The sequence below is a fragment of the Homo sapiens genome, chromosome 10 (genome assembly GCF_000001405.40).
Source record: "Homo sapiens chromosome 10, GRCh38.p14 Primary Assembly".
In the NCBI taxonomy this organism is placed as follows: Eukaryota; Metazoa; Chordata; class Mammalia; order Primates; family Hominidae; genus Homo; species Homo sapiens.
The window spans coordinates 76054899-76073430 of NC_000010.11; the positions used below are offsets into that span (position 1 = coordinate 76054899).

Consider the following 18532-nt stretch of genomic DNA (forward strand, 5'->3'; position numbering starts at 1 on the left):
ACTAAAAATACAAAAATAAGCCAGGAGTAGTGGCACACACATGTAGTCCCAGCTACTTGGGAGGCTGAGACAGGGGAATTGCTTGAACCTGGGAGGCAGAGGTTGCAGTGAGCAGAGATCATGCCACTGCTCTCCAACCTGGGCAACAGAGCAAGACTCCATCTCAAAAAAAAAAAAAAAAAAAAAAAAAAAAAAAGAAAAAGAAAAGAAAGAAACAAAGAAAGGAAAGATATTTGGGTGTTTTGTGGCACTTTCTTGATTTTGGGTGAGGTTAGCAGGTATTTGGAGGGAAGGCAGAACCCAGGGTAGGAAAAGGACAATAGACTGAGGCCAGGGAGGAAACAGGAAGTAGCCAGAGTCAAATTTCCAGGACACCAGGCATGGGGTGGACATTTCTGAAGGAAGAAAAGAATTTCATAATATTTTGACTTTAACAATGAGTCCTGTGAAGGTTATTCCTGCAGACCTCTAAACTATTCTCTCTGGCTTTGGGATGGTCAGCCAAGCCTTTTACCTGGATAAGCATATGCAGGCCACTTGGTGATAATGTCACCGAATCCTTGGGTTGTTACTTCCTCAGTTGGGAACCTCTGTGACTGGTGGTTCCTTTGCCTGAGTTTTGCTTGGGCCTGCTGAGCTTGTTCCACCTACTCGGCCTGGTGGGCTGCACTTGGCTCGTGCTGCCAGTTCAGATCCCATGCCTGCCAAGGGTGAGCCAGGTGTGGAGTGGTAAGGGGTACATGAGCAAGCAAGCACAGGGTCTGGCCACTGCATACAGCCAGGCATGCTGGAAGCAGCAGGCTGGGCAGCTCTAGACACTGGCATGGGCACTAGCTCCCTGTGAGGCTGCATCTGGACCAGGCATACCACAACCAGCTTCCACTGCAGGCACTGGGGAACGTGGTGGCACCTGGAAGCTTGAAGATGCCAGGAACCACAGAGCCCCAAAGAGGGTGTCACAGCCTTTGCTTGGGGAGCTGTTAGGTCTGGGCTCCCCAAAGGGCCACAGCTCTTCTCTCTGTCTCATCACCCACCATGTGGCGAGTGGGGGGACATGTTTCAGCCCTGTTTGTGTTACAGCTCTTTCAGTCCTGCCATTTGGTGGGTCCCAAGTTGTTGTCCCAGATCCAGGAAGAATGAAGCATGCACACAATTGGAGGGTGAGCAAGGCAAAGAGGTGCTTTATTAAGCAACAGTACAGCTCTCAGGACAACTAAAGTGGGTAGCTCCTTTCTGCAGGCAGGTCATCTCAGTTTCTGTGCAGCCCTCAGCAGAGAGGAGACCCAGAGTGGGTAGCTCCTCTCCACAGGCAGGTTGTTCCATCAACTGCCCAAGTCTGGCTGAGTCTGGGGCTTTTATGGGCATCAGAGGAAAGGAAGTGCATGCTGATTGGTCCATGGGTGGCCACAGCAGGGTCCAGAAAAAGTACCATATGTTCTCACTCTGATTTACGAAACTGGTAGCCCAGCCCCTATGCTTTAGGCCACCTCTGGCCTGATGGTGGGGTTTCACCGGGGACACACCCCTTTCCACCTAGGAGCCTGTCTGCCTCCTGCTGCCAGCCATCAACCTGCTGTCTATAGTGCCCATGGTGCCCAGGCTGTTTGTGCCAAGGGATGCCTGCAGGCCCATGCTGAGCTGTCCTCTGCTGTCCCTTGGCCTCCCTGCTGTGCTCATCAGCACCCAAAGTCCAGAAGGGGCTGAGGTGGCAGGGGGCTGGTGTTTCAGTACTGCTCCGAGCATGTACACACTCAGCCAGATTGTGACAGTGCCTGGGCTTGGCCGCCACTTTGCTCCAAAATTGGAGTGGGCATTGGGAGTCGGGAGAGGCCAGGCAGTGGGAGCAGGCACTCCCAAGCCTTCCAGTGGAGGGGGGCTTCCCAAGCCCCCAAGAGCACAGGGATGCCTGGGTCTGCAGCTGCAGCTGGGCAGCTGCAGTTGCACCTGGGAGCAGGGGCTCCTGCCCCACCAACTCAGGAGGGCATGGGGCTCCCACCTGTTCCTGGCTCCTGCCAGCTCCATAGAGCAAGCAGCCCCTACTGCAGCTGGTGTATTTGCAGCAATTGCTCCAGATGGGCTGCTACTGCCACCAATAATGAGACCACCTTACGAATGTGGAAGGTGGCCTTGGGAACCCAAGGCTCCAGTGAAGGCAAGCCACACTGTTCCAAGTAACATCCTCACTGAGGAATAGCTAGGTTCTTGGGGTTGCCTTAAGGTGTGGTTCCTTGATGCCCATTTGAGATTTCCTGTTTCTCCTTTTCCATTGAGTTTTCAGTCAGTAGACCTCTTGCTCTGTGCTCCCATAACCACTCTATGCATAACCTCGATTTTGGCACTTAGCTATGCTTATTCCTAATTTCTCCATGTGAGTGTATAATTTCTGTTACACTGAGAACACCTTTGAGAGCAGGAAGCATGTTGTAATCACATCTGTATCCCTAAGGCCTGGCACATAGTAGGTGATCAAGAAATATCTGTGCAACTGAAATCAACTGGTATGTTATTGACTCCATTCTAATGCCAGTTTTCAAGATGTGGTGAGAGTGAGCAAATAAATTTGTCCCTGCCTTCAAGAAGCTTACAGTTTGGGTAAGGACATTAATGAACACCAAGAAAATAATTAGAAAACAACAAAATGTTAGACTGTAAGGTGCTGATGGCATATTCTAGGAGTCCTGGGAAGGGAGAAAGCAATGAAGGGTGGAGGTGTACAAAAAAACCTTCACAGGAGATGAGGCTTGAAAGATGAGTATATGCTGAGGAGGCTGGGTATAGGAAGGAAATGACAGATTCCCTTGGAGATAATCCATTGCTCTTGACACTGTGTACTTACCTCTTGATAAGCAGAATAGGGTGGAAACAACTCGCTTGTTTGATTGTTGGACTATGGAACTTGATGGAAAGCATCTTGGTTAGTGATTGTCCCTGACGAGGGAGAAGTATAGACACATGTCCATACCTGTTATACATTTATTTATGCATTTATATAACTATACCCTGGCCAAGTGGTTATTCTTGTCAACTCCATATATACCTATTTGAGGACAGTTAATTACACTAGCAGCCATTGGCTTATTTCTGGAGTCCATCTGCCAAGGAATTCTTCCAGGGAAATGGAGAGCACCTAGCATTTGTTGGGCCATTAATATCTCCTAGAAATTAACTCCCCCTTTTCTCCTTGATAATCTTCATAGGTTAGCAAGTGTGGAAATAACCACATGTATTATCGAGGGATGATGCGAACAAAGTTCTTAAGACCCCTGCCTGATTCCTCAAGGAAGCATTTCTCAGCTACATGTGTTCCTCACTTGTAACCCACAGTCATCCAGGTCATTATAGTCTATGATACAGATGACCCATAGGAATGGCAGTGACGTAAAGGGTACAATCAATTTATAGGTTTATTTTACTGAGAATTTCTGTGTAGCAAAGAAGCTGAGCCTGTTTTCTAGACTGGAAGGAAGGGCATGCGTTGATAGGGTGCCACTGGCTAACCCACGTGTGTGTGTGTGTGTTTACCTTTGAGCCAAGTGTACCATTAGTGTGTGCTTCTAATGTTTAGTTGTGCATGTGTGTAAGATAGAATCATTCTGACTTCTCCAAGGAACAGTTGTTTATTCTTTGTGAAAGAAGAGAGGAGGCGCAGCCAAGGTCTAAGTTCCAGAAGACCGGATGGTGTGGATTCTTGAAGATCAGACAAGCTGTCGGGATCTCTGAGGCTGCCACTCAAACTTCCTGAGTTGTCTCTGACTCTTATCTTCCAGATGCTTTGTTCTGTACAAGCTGCCCAACTTGAAATTTCTGGATGCCCAGAAAGTAACCAGACAAGAACGAGAGGAGGCGTTGGTCAGAGGAGTCTTCATGAAGGTGGTGAAGCCCAAGGTGAGCTGCCTACTTGCTGTTCTTCACAAGGGATTTACATCTCATGGCAGTGCTTACACCCCAGGGCATGCAGAATGTCCTCTGAGTGTTTAGAATGCAGTTGGAATCTCACATGAAGGGTCCTTCCATGGATACATTGTTGGCCAAACATGAAATAGGGTTAGGTGTAAATTGGATCTTCCTGTTTTACCAATAAAGCAGCACTATGCATAGCCCAATGGTGAAGTTCTGTGGGGGACTGCAGGTCTCCTTCTTGGAAATATTCACTAAGTGGGGCCTCTGCAGGTTTGCAGCTGAGAAAGGAGAAAGAGGAAAGCATTGGGCATGGGTGGGCTTTGGGGTAGGGGGGATTCTTCTAGTACTTCAGAGGGGGACTTTCTTGTTTGCCACCAAAGGGAAGCTAGGGAAGAGTGATTTTCTTCCATCACAGGCAAGGGCTCCACGGCCCTCTGAGATATCGTTAGTGTGGAAGGTGATGTTTTCTGACAGTGTGTCCCTAGGCTGGCATGTGCCCCCCACATGTATCTCTCCAGAGCTGATTAGAGTGGTGTTTACTGACCTTTCCTTTACCAGCTGAGTCTGTAAGTGAATTTGGTGTCATGCTAATGGCAGCTCTGATGAGGCAGTGGAGAATTGGCTTGGGGTCTTGGATTCAGACACAAGGAGATTTTTTAAGGACATGGATGACTATCTCTTTGGGAGGAGTTGGGAGTCCTTCAGTGAAGCCAGAGGCTGGGGAATGGACTCGGTGACCCCTGATGATCTCCTTGGAGAACCATCATTGCCTTGAGGCTCTGTGGAGCTGTGTGGTCACCTCCCATGAGATTGCAACTTGTGTGTTGAAAATGCTGGCACTGATATCCTAGAAGTCTAGTTTATCCTCAGCTATTGACTTATAGCACTCTGCATGTGCATTGGAAATGATTAAAGGGGGGAAAGAAAAAACAAAAACAAAACAGAACAATGAAACATCTTCCATCAAGTTGCTCTGCTGGCAGCAGACCTCAGGCCACTTTCTTTCCCTGAATCCATGAGGTGCAACTTATTTTCCATTATGCTGAATAAAATTGCTAGCAGTTGTGGAAATATGTGATATGGAGGGTATATTACTGGCAGATAAATGTATTGTTACCTCTTTCAGCATGTGGGAAATTAATTGAGTGATTCATTTCATAGCTATTAAAGTGTTAACAGTGCTCCCTATCGAGGCACAGGTTTGATGTATTGCACACAACTGCCTTTAGTTATTCTAGCTTTTGTAATTTTTCCAAATGAAATAATTTATTTCTTGGCCTTCTTTTTATTTGTTTTTGGTGAAAACAGTCCAGAGATAGCCAGCATGACCAAACCCAGCAAAAGTACAACAAATGCACTCTATAATATCCTGGGTTATTATAAATAACCTGCCCACCCTACATATCTCACCTTCTTGTATACATCTGTATTCACGTGTATACCTGTGTGCAGAGTGGATCAGTATTTCTCCTGCGCTCATTGACTTTGATGTGGGCAGCTCTACATTGTCACACAAAATCTGAAGGGGTAATAAATGTAGTACCCACCATATCTGGATGGGGCACTCAGTGCATGCCCACCCCCCATTCTTCTAAGGTTCTTGGTGCACAGATCTACAAGTGTTCACATCATCCTCTAAAGTAGAAGGAAGGGGTCACTGGCTCGCTTTATGGGTGAGGGAACTGAGGGCTGGAGAAGTTAACTGGGCTGCCCCAGGTCACCTGGCTAGTAATTGTGGAGCTGGAGGTTTACCTTGTGTCTGACCACTGGGCCCACACTCTTCTCTCTCTGCTTTCTCACCCCTGGAGCAGTGAGCTACATATTTACCCTGTGGATCTCTTTGTTCAAACAAAACCTCCTAAGGTCTAAATGAGGAAAACAGGTAAGAGCAGGACTGTTCTGTTGAGTAGAGGTGGGAGGAATCGAAATCCTTCCTTGCTTTTGAAAGTATCTGAGACTGGCTCCTTAAAATCCAGCATTAGTTGTTTCTGAGTCATTAGCAACATCAGCAGAAATGCCCTTTAGGGTTCCCAATTAGTTTCTAATCAATTCTAGAATTAGTTCATGTTTGTATGATTGACTCCAATATCCTTACTAACTGTATTAAGCTTTAAAAAGCCTGTTAAGGTGTAAATTAGTTCAACCATTGTGGAAAGCAGTATGGCAATTCCTCAGAGAGCTAAAAACAGAACTACCATTTGACCTAGCAATCCTATTACTGGGTATATACTGAAAGGAATATAAATCATTCTATCATAAAGACACATACATGTGGATATTCCCAGCAACACTATTCACAATAGCAAAGACATGGAATCAGCCTAAATGCCCATCAGTGACAGATCAGATAAAGAAAATGTGATACGTATACACTATGGAATACTATGCAGCCATACAAAAGAACGAGATCATATCTTTTGTGGGAACATGGATGGAGCTGGAGGCCATTATTCTTAGCAAACTAATGCAGGAACAGAAAAACAAATACATATTCTTACTTACAGGTAGAAGCTAAATGATGAGAACTCATGAACACAAAGAAGGGAACAACAGACATAGGGGCCTACTTGAGGCTGAAGATTGGGAGGAGAGAGAGGAGCAGAAAAAATAACTATTAGGTACTAGGCTTGGTACCTGGGTATGAAATAATCTCTACAACAAACCCCCGTGACACAAGTTTACCTATGTAACCAACCTGCATATTTACCCCCAAACCTAAAACAAAAGTTTAAAAAAATACCTGTTAATTATTTGAGGAGAGAGACTAAAGTACTCTTACAAAGTATGGTGATCTTGGTTCTCTTTCTGTAGTCACATGATTTCCAGACCAAAGAGGACTTAGAAATCACCTAGTCTGTGCTCCCGTTTCATGGATGAGGGAGCTGGGAGAGGGTGTAGTTTCCTGAGGCTCCATGGAATTGGGACCAGAACCCCTGGGGGTCTGGGCTTCCAGTTAAGTGTTCAATTTATGCCATGATTCTTCAAGTGCCCAGGACGATTCTTCTGTGTTCTTGGTTTCATATCGAACTGGATGCCTACATTGAATGGCAGGCAGTTCCCTTTTGTCTGTTATTTTCAGAGATAGGCAGTGGTACTTTTCTTGTAGAAAGAAAGACGCCAAATGAGCTCCTTGCTGAATTAATAAATTGGCATTAAAAAGGCTGGTTCTCACCTGTTCACGGTGTGTACAGACATATGTTTGTTCCCATGCAGGTGTGTATACCCGCTTCCGTCTCTGTGTATATATACATATGCATGTTCTGGGAGGTATGTGTACACCAGAGTCAGCTTCTAAGTGGCAAGCAATTTCCTTTCCATGTGTTGCTGCTGCTGTGCTGAGCACACTCAGGGAAGACCTATTTTTCACGATGGAATCGGAATCTCAAGCTGGCTCCTGTCCTTTCCAGGGCAGCCAAGGCCTGTTGTGCTTATTCAGCAGAATGCTCTGATGGATGATTAAGGTGGCCGTGATTTGGGGAGCTATTTTCATTTTATTCCTGACATAAAGAATTTGGGAGAATGGAAAATGTCCCTCCAATCACAGCTCTTGCCTTGGAGGTAGGGAAACGGGCAGTCTGGGTGTTCTCGGCTGACACAAATGCAGAACCATCCAGGAGGTAATAAAGGCCCGATGTCGCAGAGGTCTGATTGGGTACCTGGCAGGCGCTGGCGCTTGAGTGCAAGTCCTCACTCCCTTTCTCCCATGATGACACATTTCTCCTCCGTGGCTGCCTTTTAGCTTTTGTTGTTTCAAAGCTGGCTTCTGTCTGAGCTCTGATTGTTGTAGAGAAAGATGCTGTCATTCATTAGGAAGTGATAGCTGAATGCTACAATGGATGCTTCCAGACTTTATCTCTCTGTGTGTGTGTGTGTGTGTGTGTGTGTGTGTGTGTGTGTGTTATTAGTTGATGGACCTGCAACAGCTAGGCTTTGTCATTTCCAAAATTCAAATATATAAAATATATATAACTTTATCAAATATTGGCCATTGAATCATGCCATTGTTAATACAGAGAACACCACACTGGATACAGAGAAGGTTCAAGCCCCCAAAGAAAGAGCCCGCTAGTAACCAAACTGTGAAGCCCCTCACTGCACTGGGAAACATAGATCAAAGGGGTGCAGAGGCCTGTCCAGGATGACGTGTGTGGTCGGCATGTCAGCCCTGCACAGCAGAGAGACAGCTCAAAAATCCGACAGTCAGAATTGTTTAATTATGTCCTGACTTTGTAATTATTCATCCCTGTTCTGGCAAAGAGCACAGTTGTCATTTCTTTGACATAATTATTTAAAGCTGAGCCCTCTTGTTTACAGGCATGTATACAAAGTTGGCTACCAACTGTTTAATCTTCAGAATCTTAAAGGAGCCTAAGGAGGGCAACTCTAGAAAGTGTTTTGACGCTTATGTTTTGCTTGCATTAATATCCATCCTCATAGGGAAGATGTGGTAATAAATATGTCTGTGAGTAGTGAGGTGTCTTTGAAGACATGTCACTTGTTTGTTTATGTGGGCACAGTGTGTTCAAACGTATGTTTTTTCCCATGCAGGTGTGTATACCAGCTTCAATCTCTCTGTGTGTATACATATGCATGTTCTGGGAGGTATGTGTACACCAGAGTCAGCTTCTAAGTGGCGAGCGATTTCCTTTCCTGATTTTTCCACCTGATTTTCCCATCGTGTAGTTTGTGTATTTGTGTAGTTTGTTGTAGCTTGTATATTTGTGTGTGTGCCTACGTTTTGATACTTGGGAGGGTGGGCTATTGTGTATGTGTGTGTGTGCATGTGTGTTTGTGTGTGATAGAAAGAAGGAAGGAGAGGGAGGGAGATGCCCTGTGTTGAAGAAATAAACTTTGGAGTACATGCATTTCCAAAAGTCTCTCTTATTCTTTTCCCCTAAACTGAAAATTGGAAACTATTTGGGCCTGAGAATCACCTGCTCCCACAAATACCCTACATAGTCCTGCCATTGACTCTTGGAGTTAGGTCCTCACTCCCCTGGGTACCTTTAGTTTCTTCCATCTGTGTCTGTGTTTTTAGGTTTCCATGCAAAAGGCCATCTAGGATGAAGACGGAATGATTCATAAGGAAGCTGGCTTCTCATTGGGATGAGGAAGCTGCTCGCCCCTGGGGTGCCAGCTCCATGAGGGCAGGAACCTTGTGTTTTGTTCGTTTCTGTATCTCTAGTACCTAGTCTATAGCAGAGGCTCAGTCAATACTCATCAAAGGAATGAACCATGAACAGCAGAGCATATTGGAAGATCCATCATGAAAAGGTTGTTGTATGTGTTCTAATTACTTCAGTCAACATGGTTACATTAAAAGGCAGGAAAGAAACCATTGCCTTTAGACTGTGTGTTAATTGCCACCTGTACACTGGCAGAAAAGACAGATTCTGGGCATCGTATTTGTTTTTCCAAAGGATTTTCCTGGGATTATTTATGATGGGAAAACCTACTACTACCACAATCCCCATGACTTGGCTTTTCCACTGGGTAGCATTTCACGGGGAGGCAAGGGTGTGATCTGAAGCTGCGTTCTCCTCGTCACTCGGGGTGGTACTGGAGTCCTCCTTCTTTCTCAACCCACCTGCTCATATTAGGGCTTTTAGGAAGTAAGTAGCTCTTCTCATGAAACATGTTAGGGTACCCACAAGTCTGTGTGTAGTTACAATGAAATTTTCCGTCTTCGCCGCTATTGTATTTTTTGTCTATACCTAAAGGAGCACTACCTAGTTGCTTCTTTGCTACACTTAATTGTTTTTTATGCCTAGTGTAGCACTTTACTAAGTGCTATCTTATTCTAAACTACACTGCGTATGTCTTTGATATCTTCTGTTACTCCTATGTAGCCCAATTGCAAATGCATAAAAGGGTATCAGAAACTACTTCTAGGTTTATTACAATTACTGTCCTTTATACTCAATATTTTCAAGAATATATATTTTATATAAAGCCAGGACATGCCTATAAATAAACATTATAAATCACAAGTACATTCAGTTCAACAGACCATCAGCCAATATATTTTGAAAGTTCTCCACAGTGCCAAACATTCAAAAAATAATTTAAAATATTGGTTGTTTTTCTGGATGTTTCCAACTACCTGAATGTGCTCATGTTTTTATGATTTTTTTTTCTGTTTTCATGCAGATGTTTCTTGTCTAGAGACATATTCAGATTCTATTTTCAGTTTCTTTCTAGTAAATTTTGGAGAGAGGAAAATTTTTTAATTAACTGTTTTTTTTAAGAAAATGCTTAGATGGTGTGTTCAAAAACAACTCTGGGAGCCAAACATTTGCAGTTTGTTTGTTTTTTCAACCTTATTCCTGACTTCACAGTTTGCACGTTCATTTGAGGGAGAATCACTTAAAGATTTTGTATTTCTCCATTTTTAGAACCATGGCATCCTGTGCCTCAAGCAAATGCTTTTGGAGTATTGCTCTTTGGAGGCGGCCTCTGTAGCCTTGCATTTGGGTAGCAACCCTCTAAAATAAAAAAATAGAGCACTGCAGGAAAGCCATGTCTCTGGTGTGCTGGTGAAACCAAAATACACAATAGAAAGAAGGAAGGTGGTAGCAGCCTCTTAGGGGCATTCCCAGGAGTCCTAGGGGCCTTGCCAGGTGCTGAGCACATAGTAGAGACTACTGTCCATGAAGCCAGTGCCTGGGGGATGTTACTGTTTCCCTGATGGGACCTCTGGCTTGCCCAGCTCCCCAATGGCCCAGCTTCACCCTCTTCCTCTTTTTAGCCTCCCACATGCTCGCTGCTGTCCAAAGATGCTTAGATGGATGTATCAAGAGGATCATGGAAGTAAGTAGCATTTTTTAAGTGTTGGGGATAAGATGAGTAACTCTTGGATACTTTGTCCTGCCTCTGCAACCCAACAACTGGGAGAAGTGTGGTAGATTGCATTGTTTGTCTAAAACCATTCCTTTCTCTCTGCCCTTGCTGTGGCTCCCCATCTAAGGGAGGAATACACTTCCCCATTCCATTGACTTTGGCCTTGGCCATGTAACTCCTTGACCAATGGGATGCGAGTGGAAGTGACAGCATGACAATTCTGGGCCAAGGCCTTACACAGCACCATGTGTTTTCACTCACTGCTCGCACACGTCTGCCATTTGCTATGAAAACAACATGAGAGACACCATGACCAGACCTGAACCTGACTTGAGGCCTGCAAACATCCCAGCCAACCACAGACCTCTACATGAGAAAGAAATGCTTGTAATAAGCCACTAAGATTTTGAGCAGTAGTGTGCTGACTAATACCTAGGCAGGCCATCCCATCCACACACCCTACCTCTGCTGCATCTCTGGCCATTGAACCAGGGTCTTAACTGGAACACAACTTGGAGTTTTGTGAGGTTAGTGGCAGTCATTGGTGCCACAGCACCAACTACTGTAGGGTTTCTGGGTACTTAACTAATTAGGATAGCAGGGCCAGTCTAGAGGTCAACTGGCTGCCTAGTGGTACATTAGATGCACAGAAACTTCCCTGATATGTGAGTTAGAAGAACATGCATTAAGTAGTCACTGTCTGCTAGCTATTGTACCAGCTGCTTAACAATTTTATCTCTAATTTTCTCCCTACAAATGAGGAAACTGATGATCAGATAAATTATATACATAACCTAAAATTACAGAGCAAGGTGGAACCAGGTCCTTTTTTTCCCCCGGGTCTTCCTAAGCCCCAAAACTCATGTTCTTTCCCCTCTATGCCTTGAATTACTTCAGGGAAAAAAGTCACACTCAAAGCTTGTGCTCTTCCCACTGTATCCCTTACATTTCATTAACAAGGCATACATTTCTGATGGAAGGCAGGGGTGAAAGAGCAGGAAGATCAGGAGATAGAAGGCAGCCAGAGGCAACTTTGTAATTTCCAATTTTAACCCTGTGATGACTCCCCATAACATATTTTGGTGAAATACATGGGCTAGGCAAAGAACTACAGGAGCCAGGCTGTGGGGGGATCTCTGAGTTAGGTCAGGTTTGCAGTTTCCCCTGAGGGTGAGGAGGAACCTTGGCAGAGTTTGAAGTGGGAAAAAAGTCTGGGCAGGCCTGTATTTGCATCCCTGGGTATCTGGGAGAGGGAGCCTTAGAGCTCTGTGCAGAGCAGGTGCTTTGGTGATGTGGAAATCTGTGCAACAGCAGGCACTGGTCTGAGGCTGCCACAGTGTTCCCAGCACCCAGGCCAGTGTCAGTGCTCAGGCAGCTACAGGGGTTAGAGAGCTGTGTCTAAAGAAGCTCTGGGATAGCAGAGATGGGTCCATGTAAGAGTGAGTAGCTCTGATTCTGGGACAAGGAGACAGCTGATGGCTGTCAGAGACCCACTAGTGACTCCCCCTTAAAGGGAGTTCACAACATCTCGAAAATGTTCTTTGACATGTTCTTACCTCAAAGCCCCTGTCCCTTATAGTATTCACTGTCTCGTTTTAAGGAGTAAATTTAAGTCTTCCTAACTGGGCCATAAAAAGTTGTCATTCGCATGATCACTGGCAATGACTAAGATGGAGCCTTTATTTGTCTTTAGTCTGCACATTATCAGCTTGACATTTTCTTGATCCACTTTGGAAAAGTATCTTTGGCATTTTGTTTGTGCAATGTAGATTCTTTTTATCATTATTTTTATTAAGTTTGAAAGGAAAGAGAAGAGGGAAAAGGAGAGGAAAATAAAGATGTTTACTTAAGAAATTGGGTTCTGGAGAGTAAAGTTAGGGTTCTGATTTAAAGTTATCCATATTTAAAACCAACATTACCCGGGGTTCTGTGCAGAGCTACAGGGCAGGACTGGCTGCTGTTCTTCAGCTATGGGTGCATGGGTGAGCTTGACAAATCCTTCCCATGCTTTTGTCCATCCTCCAGCCCACCCCTCCCAATTCTTTGCTTTGAGCTTGGTGATTCTAGGCTAGTGATGAAGAAGAATAAGTTGGAAATGCAGGGGCAACTTGTCTAGGAACAGGGAAAAAAGGCCAATGACTGACGTATGAGTAAAAGGAGAATCATGATGGCCTCGGCATCCCCTCCCCTCCATTAGACCAGGGCCTTGCTGTCTTTCCTGAACTCTACAGCTTAATAGAGCTCTGTCTTCCTCAGAAAGACCCTTCTGGGCCCATGGAAACATCAGACTGTAGGATTCTAGAGACTGAACTCTCAGGCCATTGTGTATCCTTGAAGGCAGGGAAACCTGCAAGAAGGGGGCAGGCAGAGGCCAACCACACAGATGCCAGGCCACTAGAGAAACATCATGAACATTGTTCTGAAGCTGCCTTCAATGACATGTGCATGTATTTGCAATTCCATGGCTAAGGAAGAAGGAGAAAACAGGGATGGCATGGTCCCATTTTCTACTCTGCAGTTCTGGCTATTTCCAAACCACCTGCTACTATAGGTAATAGCAGATAAGAAGAGCAAATTGTAAGAAGAAAATATAAAAGAAAACTCATGTAAGCTCAGTGATGAAATGAATGTTTCTGATACTTAACATTTACCTGATCTTTTTGTTGTTCCCAAAAGCAAAGTTGTGGAGAAGATAAAGTAGTAAGATAATCTTAGGGCAGCAGTCACCAACGTTTCTGGCACCAGGGACTAGTTTTTTGGAAGACAATTATTCCACAGACTGGGGGTGGGGATGGGGGATGATTTCTGGATGAAACTGCTCCACCTCAGATCATCAGGCATTAGATTCTCATAAGGAGCCTACAACCTAGATCCCTCACATGCACAGTTCACAATAGGGTTTGAACTCCTATGAGAATCTGATGCCACCACTGATCTGACAGGAGGCAGAGCCCAGGCAGTAATGCTCGCTCACCAGCCGCTCACCTCCTGCTGTGTGGCCTTGTATCTAATAGACCACAGACCAGTACATGTCTGTAGCCCCGGGATTGGTGTTGGAGACCCCTGCCTTAGGGTGTCCAACCTGAACAGAGTTAAAAGTCTTCACAACATTTGGAAGAAAAATGTGATGATGGTCTGAATGCGGCTGATATGTACTTTCAGGGTACCCTTTGGAGGAGTGTCAAACAGGTATGCCTAGGCAAGTACCAGCATGCAGTAGCACGCAAGTAATGGCACCCCGTTCCACCACCCTGCAGACTCAGTGAGGGGCCAGATGCTCACAAGAGAGGGGCTTCTCATTTCAAAAGAAATTATCTCTGCCCTTTATCCCAAATGGTCCATTGAGAAGCAAAGAGAACATCTTTCTTTCCTGTTTCCCCAGAGAGCCTGTTTCTCCTCACCAACACCTCTAGAACATCCAAGTTCCCAGACAGCTGTTGGATCCGGCTTGAGAGTCTGCTACAACCCTCTGGGAGGTGTGTTTTTGCCTAGAAGTTGTTTTGCCCACCTGTGGTCACCATAGCTTCCTTCTGGGGCCTGTATACACACTCAGATTCCAAATGCATCTTCTTTGTCACTCTGACCAGCAGAAGTGCCATTTCACAAGCATGATGGGGAAGGCTTGTCCTTGGGGTCACTGAAGGCTGGTGCTACAATTAGCCCTTCTGTTTGCTTTTCTGCTCCTTACAGTAGAGTGTCTTAGATGAACAGACAGGGCTCCATCAATAATGCACAGATGCTCTGTAATTGGGACTTCCTTTGATGTTAATTTAGCTAAGTTCAACGCCATTGTCAGTGATAGCAATTACGTGCAGCCTTTTCACCAAGGACATTTTAGGATAATTTTATTTTTCATGTGCATTTTAAAATATGGCAGTAAATTTTGAGCTACATTACCTGAATTAGAACTCATTATTTATTTTCAACAGTGAACTAATACTCTGTCTAGGCTCCAAAGCTGTCTTTTTTTTTTTTTTCTTTTTTGAAGTGGGGGATATGTACTGGGGCTTCTACTTTATGCAGTTTTTAACTCTTGAGTGAAATTTAGAAGTGAGTCACCTCTTCTTTTTTTGTTGAGCATTTTGAATTGTCACAGAGGCTATCTGGCTCGGTGACCTGTCACGTATTTTTGTTGGGCCCATTTTTATTCACTCCTCCCCCATTCCACAGCCTTTACTTTTGTTCTTGACACAATTTAAGGAGTTGCCTCCAGCTGTTTTTCTGGGGAGGTTTTAAGTCTGAATTTATTGTAGCTGTTGAGTTCCATGGAAAACCTGCAATTCTTAATTTGTTCATGAGCTGTTGTTGGATTTGCTGCTCCATTTGGGGACTGGGCCCACTCCAAGTTTCAGGGTAATGTTTAGGTTTGGATTAAAGGCTGGACTTCTACCTCCTGTTATTGGTTGCCTTATTAAAATGGGGAATGTAATGCCTTCCAAGTCTGTTGGGGGATTAAATGAGATAATCTGTGGCAGGAGCTAATGCAGGCTCTGGTCTAAAGCATCAGTAGCAGCTAGTGTTCTTAGTCATGTAATTTCAACTTACAAGGACTCTTTTTGTGGCACTGCTGTGTCATCAAGATGTGTGGGTGAATGTGAGGAAGGTAATTTTGGCTTGAGATGCTGGGGGGCAGGTACCTAAGTCAGCTTGGGATACCATAACAAAATGCCATTGACTAGATGTCTTAAACAACAGAAATGCATTTTCTTGCAGTTCTGAAGTCCAGAAGTTCAAGGTCAGGGTGCCAGCATGGTTGGGTTCAGGTGTGGGCTCTCTTCCTGGCTTGTAGATGGCTACCTTCTCACTGCACTCTCCACTCATGGTGGAGAAAGTAAAGAAAGAGAAGGAGATCTCTCCGTCTTCTGATGAAACCACAGTCCTATTGGATTAGGGTCTCATTTAACCTTAATTACCTCCTAAAGATATTGTCTCCAGGTAGAGTCCCATTGCAGGGTAGAGCTTGAACGTGTGAATTTGGGGGTACGCATTCAGTCCACAGCAGGGGGCATTGCCCCTCTATTTCTGGTGGCTTAACTAAGTTTTCTGGAATTTATCCTTAAATGAAATACTTCTGCTCTTCTGAGACATCTACTTCCTAGTAAGAGTAAAATACCTAAAAGAAAGGAATGTGAGAGGGGAAAGAAGGCCTCACATTCATCCTGGGGAGGTCCAGGCTCCTGAGCTTGGGCATCTCCTCAGCCACCGCACGAGACCCTTTTGTTCTTGTGGGAATGGTAGAGGGAAGCAGTAGGGCAGGTGAAGGCATGGGAGGAGTAAGCATGGCGTGGGGGACGGGAGGCTCCTTGCCACTGATGGAGCCAGGAGCATGAAGGTGCAGCTGCCCTCTGGACAGCTGTGGAGGAGAGAGGTCTCCATACAGGACCAATGCGGGAAAGGATGCCTGGTGCAGAAGTGAGCCCTTAAGCTCTTTCATTTGAGTGACCTCGCACTCAACTCTCTTAATCCTCCTCTAATTCCCTTGGCGAATCTGGAAATGAAGGCTGATGTTTAGATCCTAGAATTTGTCATTGGAATCAGGCCCCTCTGCCCCCAGAGTGAAATGAAAAAACTGGGGAATGAAATTTGGGAGCTTGTTACACATGTCCAAAGAATATTATCCCATCATCAGAAGGGTTTTGAAACCCAAGATTGAGATATTGGCTCTTTAGACAATTAGAAAACAGCCAAGTACTGTATTATGAAACAAACAAACAAAAAAATCTGTTCAGTTTAATGCTAGAAAAAGAGAAAGAGAGGTTCTAACTTCTGTACTCATTCTAATTTTTAGTCATGGGATGTTTTGGAGAAGATTAGATTACAAAATATTTTTTTCTTCTTTGTGTTCAGAAAAGCCTCAATACCAACTTGCAGCCTCTACACTTTTAGATGCCAGAGGCCTAAGCTGAAAATATGAATTGTGTTTGCTTAGGTAAAAATGAACAGGGCGAGTAAGCGGAATAAAGAATAAAAAGCTTTTCCTTCTTTGCTTTCCCTCCCCTCTTCCTTTGCACATTATATGACTAAATGTGCAACTTTGTTCACATAACTGCTACAAACAGTTCACTGTGTAGGCCAAACGCTCTCTTATGCAGTAAAATTAAGAAATAATATGCTTTGAAAGTGATTTATGAGTGTGGTTAAACTGCCAGATTTACAAAGAAATAGTTCAGATCTTGGGAAGCCTCAGGAGTCACGTCAAAAATGAATTTGACCATGATTTAAACTGCTACTTTTCTTACATGACATTTAATATGTGTACTTTGGAGGCCCATATGTCTTTAATAAAATAGCATTAAGTTTTAAATATGATATGAATGCAGCCAGTTTCTAAATTCATAACCTTTTCCACAACTCCAAAATGCTAACCAATAAGGGAGTCATACACGCAATAAAACATAAACCTTAGAAAATAGCTTTTTATTAAAATGGTTAGACAGTTGGCAGCTGGGTTGCAATGTAATAAATACTTACAGCATTGTGGGTTTATCAGACGTTGTTTACCCTGCAAGCAACTGGGACCAGACAACTAATTATAGCCCCTGCCACAAGAGCAGTTCAAGCTGAGTCCCCCTGAGTATATCGAAGATGCAGGATAGTTTGTGTTGAGGGCCCTGGACAGGGAGTCCAGAGATTTGGGCTCTAATCCCTCTCCACCACTTAAAGGGGTGTGACCTTGGGCAAGTCCCTCCATTTTTCCAACTTCTCCAATCTGTGTCACAGAGATAATAATGCCTGGCAGGCAGTTCTGCAGTGCTGATAGATAAGAAACATCTGACACCAGTGCTTGGCACATAGTAGGTGCTCAGTAAAGAGAAACAATTCTTTTTAAAAACAGCCTTTAATTAAAAAAAAAAGTATTTTAGGCTAGACCTTCATGTCATTCTAGCAGTGATGTTTTATGATGACTCTAGGTTGGCCCCAAGAGAAGTTTAACCACTTAGCCAGAGATCAGTGTAAACATCATGAAAAATGAACATGGAGCTCCTTGTCTCTCTCACCTCTTGAAGGAACAAGCATGGGAGAATGGCAGAAGGACATATTTGGTTCAGGGGGAATGGGAGTGTCCTGGTGGCCACTGCTACTTTCCTGTTCCCAGAGATGAAAGGGAGGTGTGCAACACTGTTCCTTCTTGCCTTTGGCTTTCCCATTCATAGTGAAGGTGACTTATCTTTGTAAACTGCTCTTTATCACAGCCTAAGGTCTTTGAGTACTTCTGCTGCTGCTGTGTGTGAATGCATCTGCAGACCTTTCTGTGGAGTAGTCTTGAAGTAGGCCTTCCAGTCTCCATGTTTCCAGATGCATAGGAACAGCTGGTGTTTCCAGCATCGCAGATGAAACAGCCAGTCTGGCAGTGGTCTGATTGTGTTTGTCCATGCAACCAAATCTTACCACCCCCCACAAACCTCCTTAGCAGGGAATTCCTGAATTCCCTAAAATGGAAGTTGTACATTATATTTGAGCCTAGATTTTGAATCTCAGGGCACAGACATATGTGTGGTTATCAAAGATGAAAAGACCAAGGAACCACTTCATTTTGTTTTGTTTTGTGTTGTTTTTATATTTTTTAACAATGTTATGGTTTCATTAAGGGAAATTAACAAAGAAAATCCTTCAACTCTATTCCCTATATGTGACTCTATGACACATGTAGGGAATATGTGTGTTCCCTTCCAAACCGTATCCTTTTCTAAATGTGTTTAGAAATCCTTTTCTAAATGTGTTCTTGATGTGTTTAATGTTTTACTTTTTACTTAAAATTTTTATTACTTATTTTGTATTCCTCAAATATATT

General features: G+C 44.2%; 1 protein-coding gene across 3 annotated transcripts in view; it reads left to right on the plus strand.

The window, feature by feature from the left end:
• Positions 1 to 18532, plus strand: part of LRMDA (leucine rich melanocyte differentiation associated) — a 1128545-nt gene that overhangs the window by 623275 nt on the left and 486738 nt on the right. For all 3 annotated transcript variants that reach the window (NR_131178.2, NM_001305581.2, NM_032024.5), the window contains one exon: positions 3768 to 3885. Coding sequence is in view for 2 of the 3 variants with exons in the window: in NM_001305581.2 (NP_001292510.1) it covers positions 3768 to 3885 (118 nt within the window). In the remaining variant the exon portion in view is untranslated. The remainder of the gene's footprint in view (positions 1 to 3767; positions 3886 to 18532) is intronic.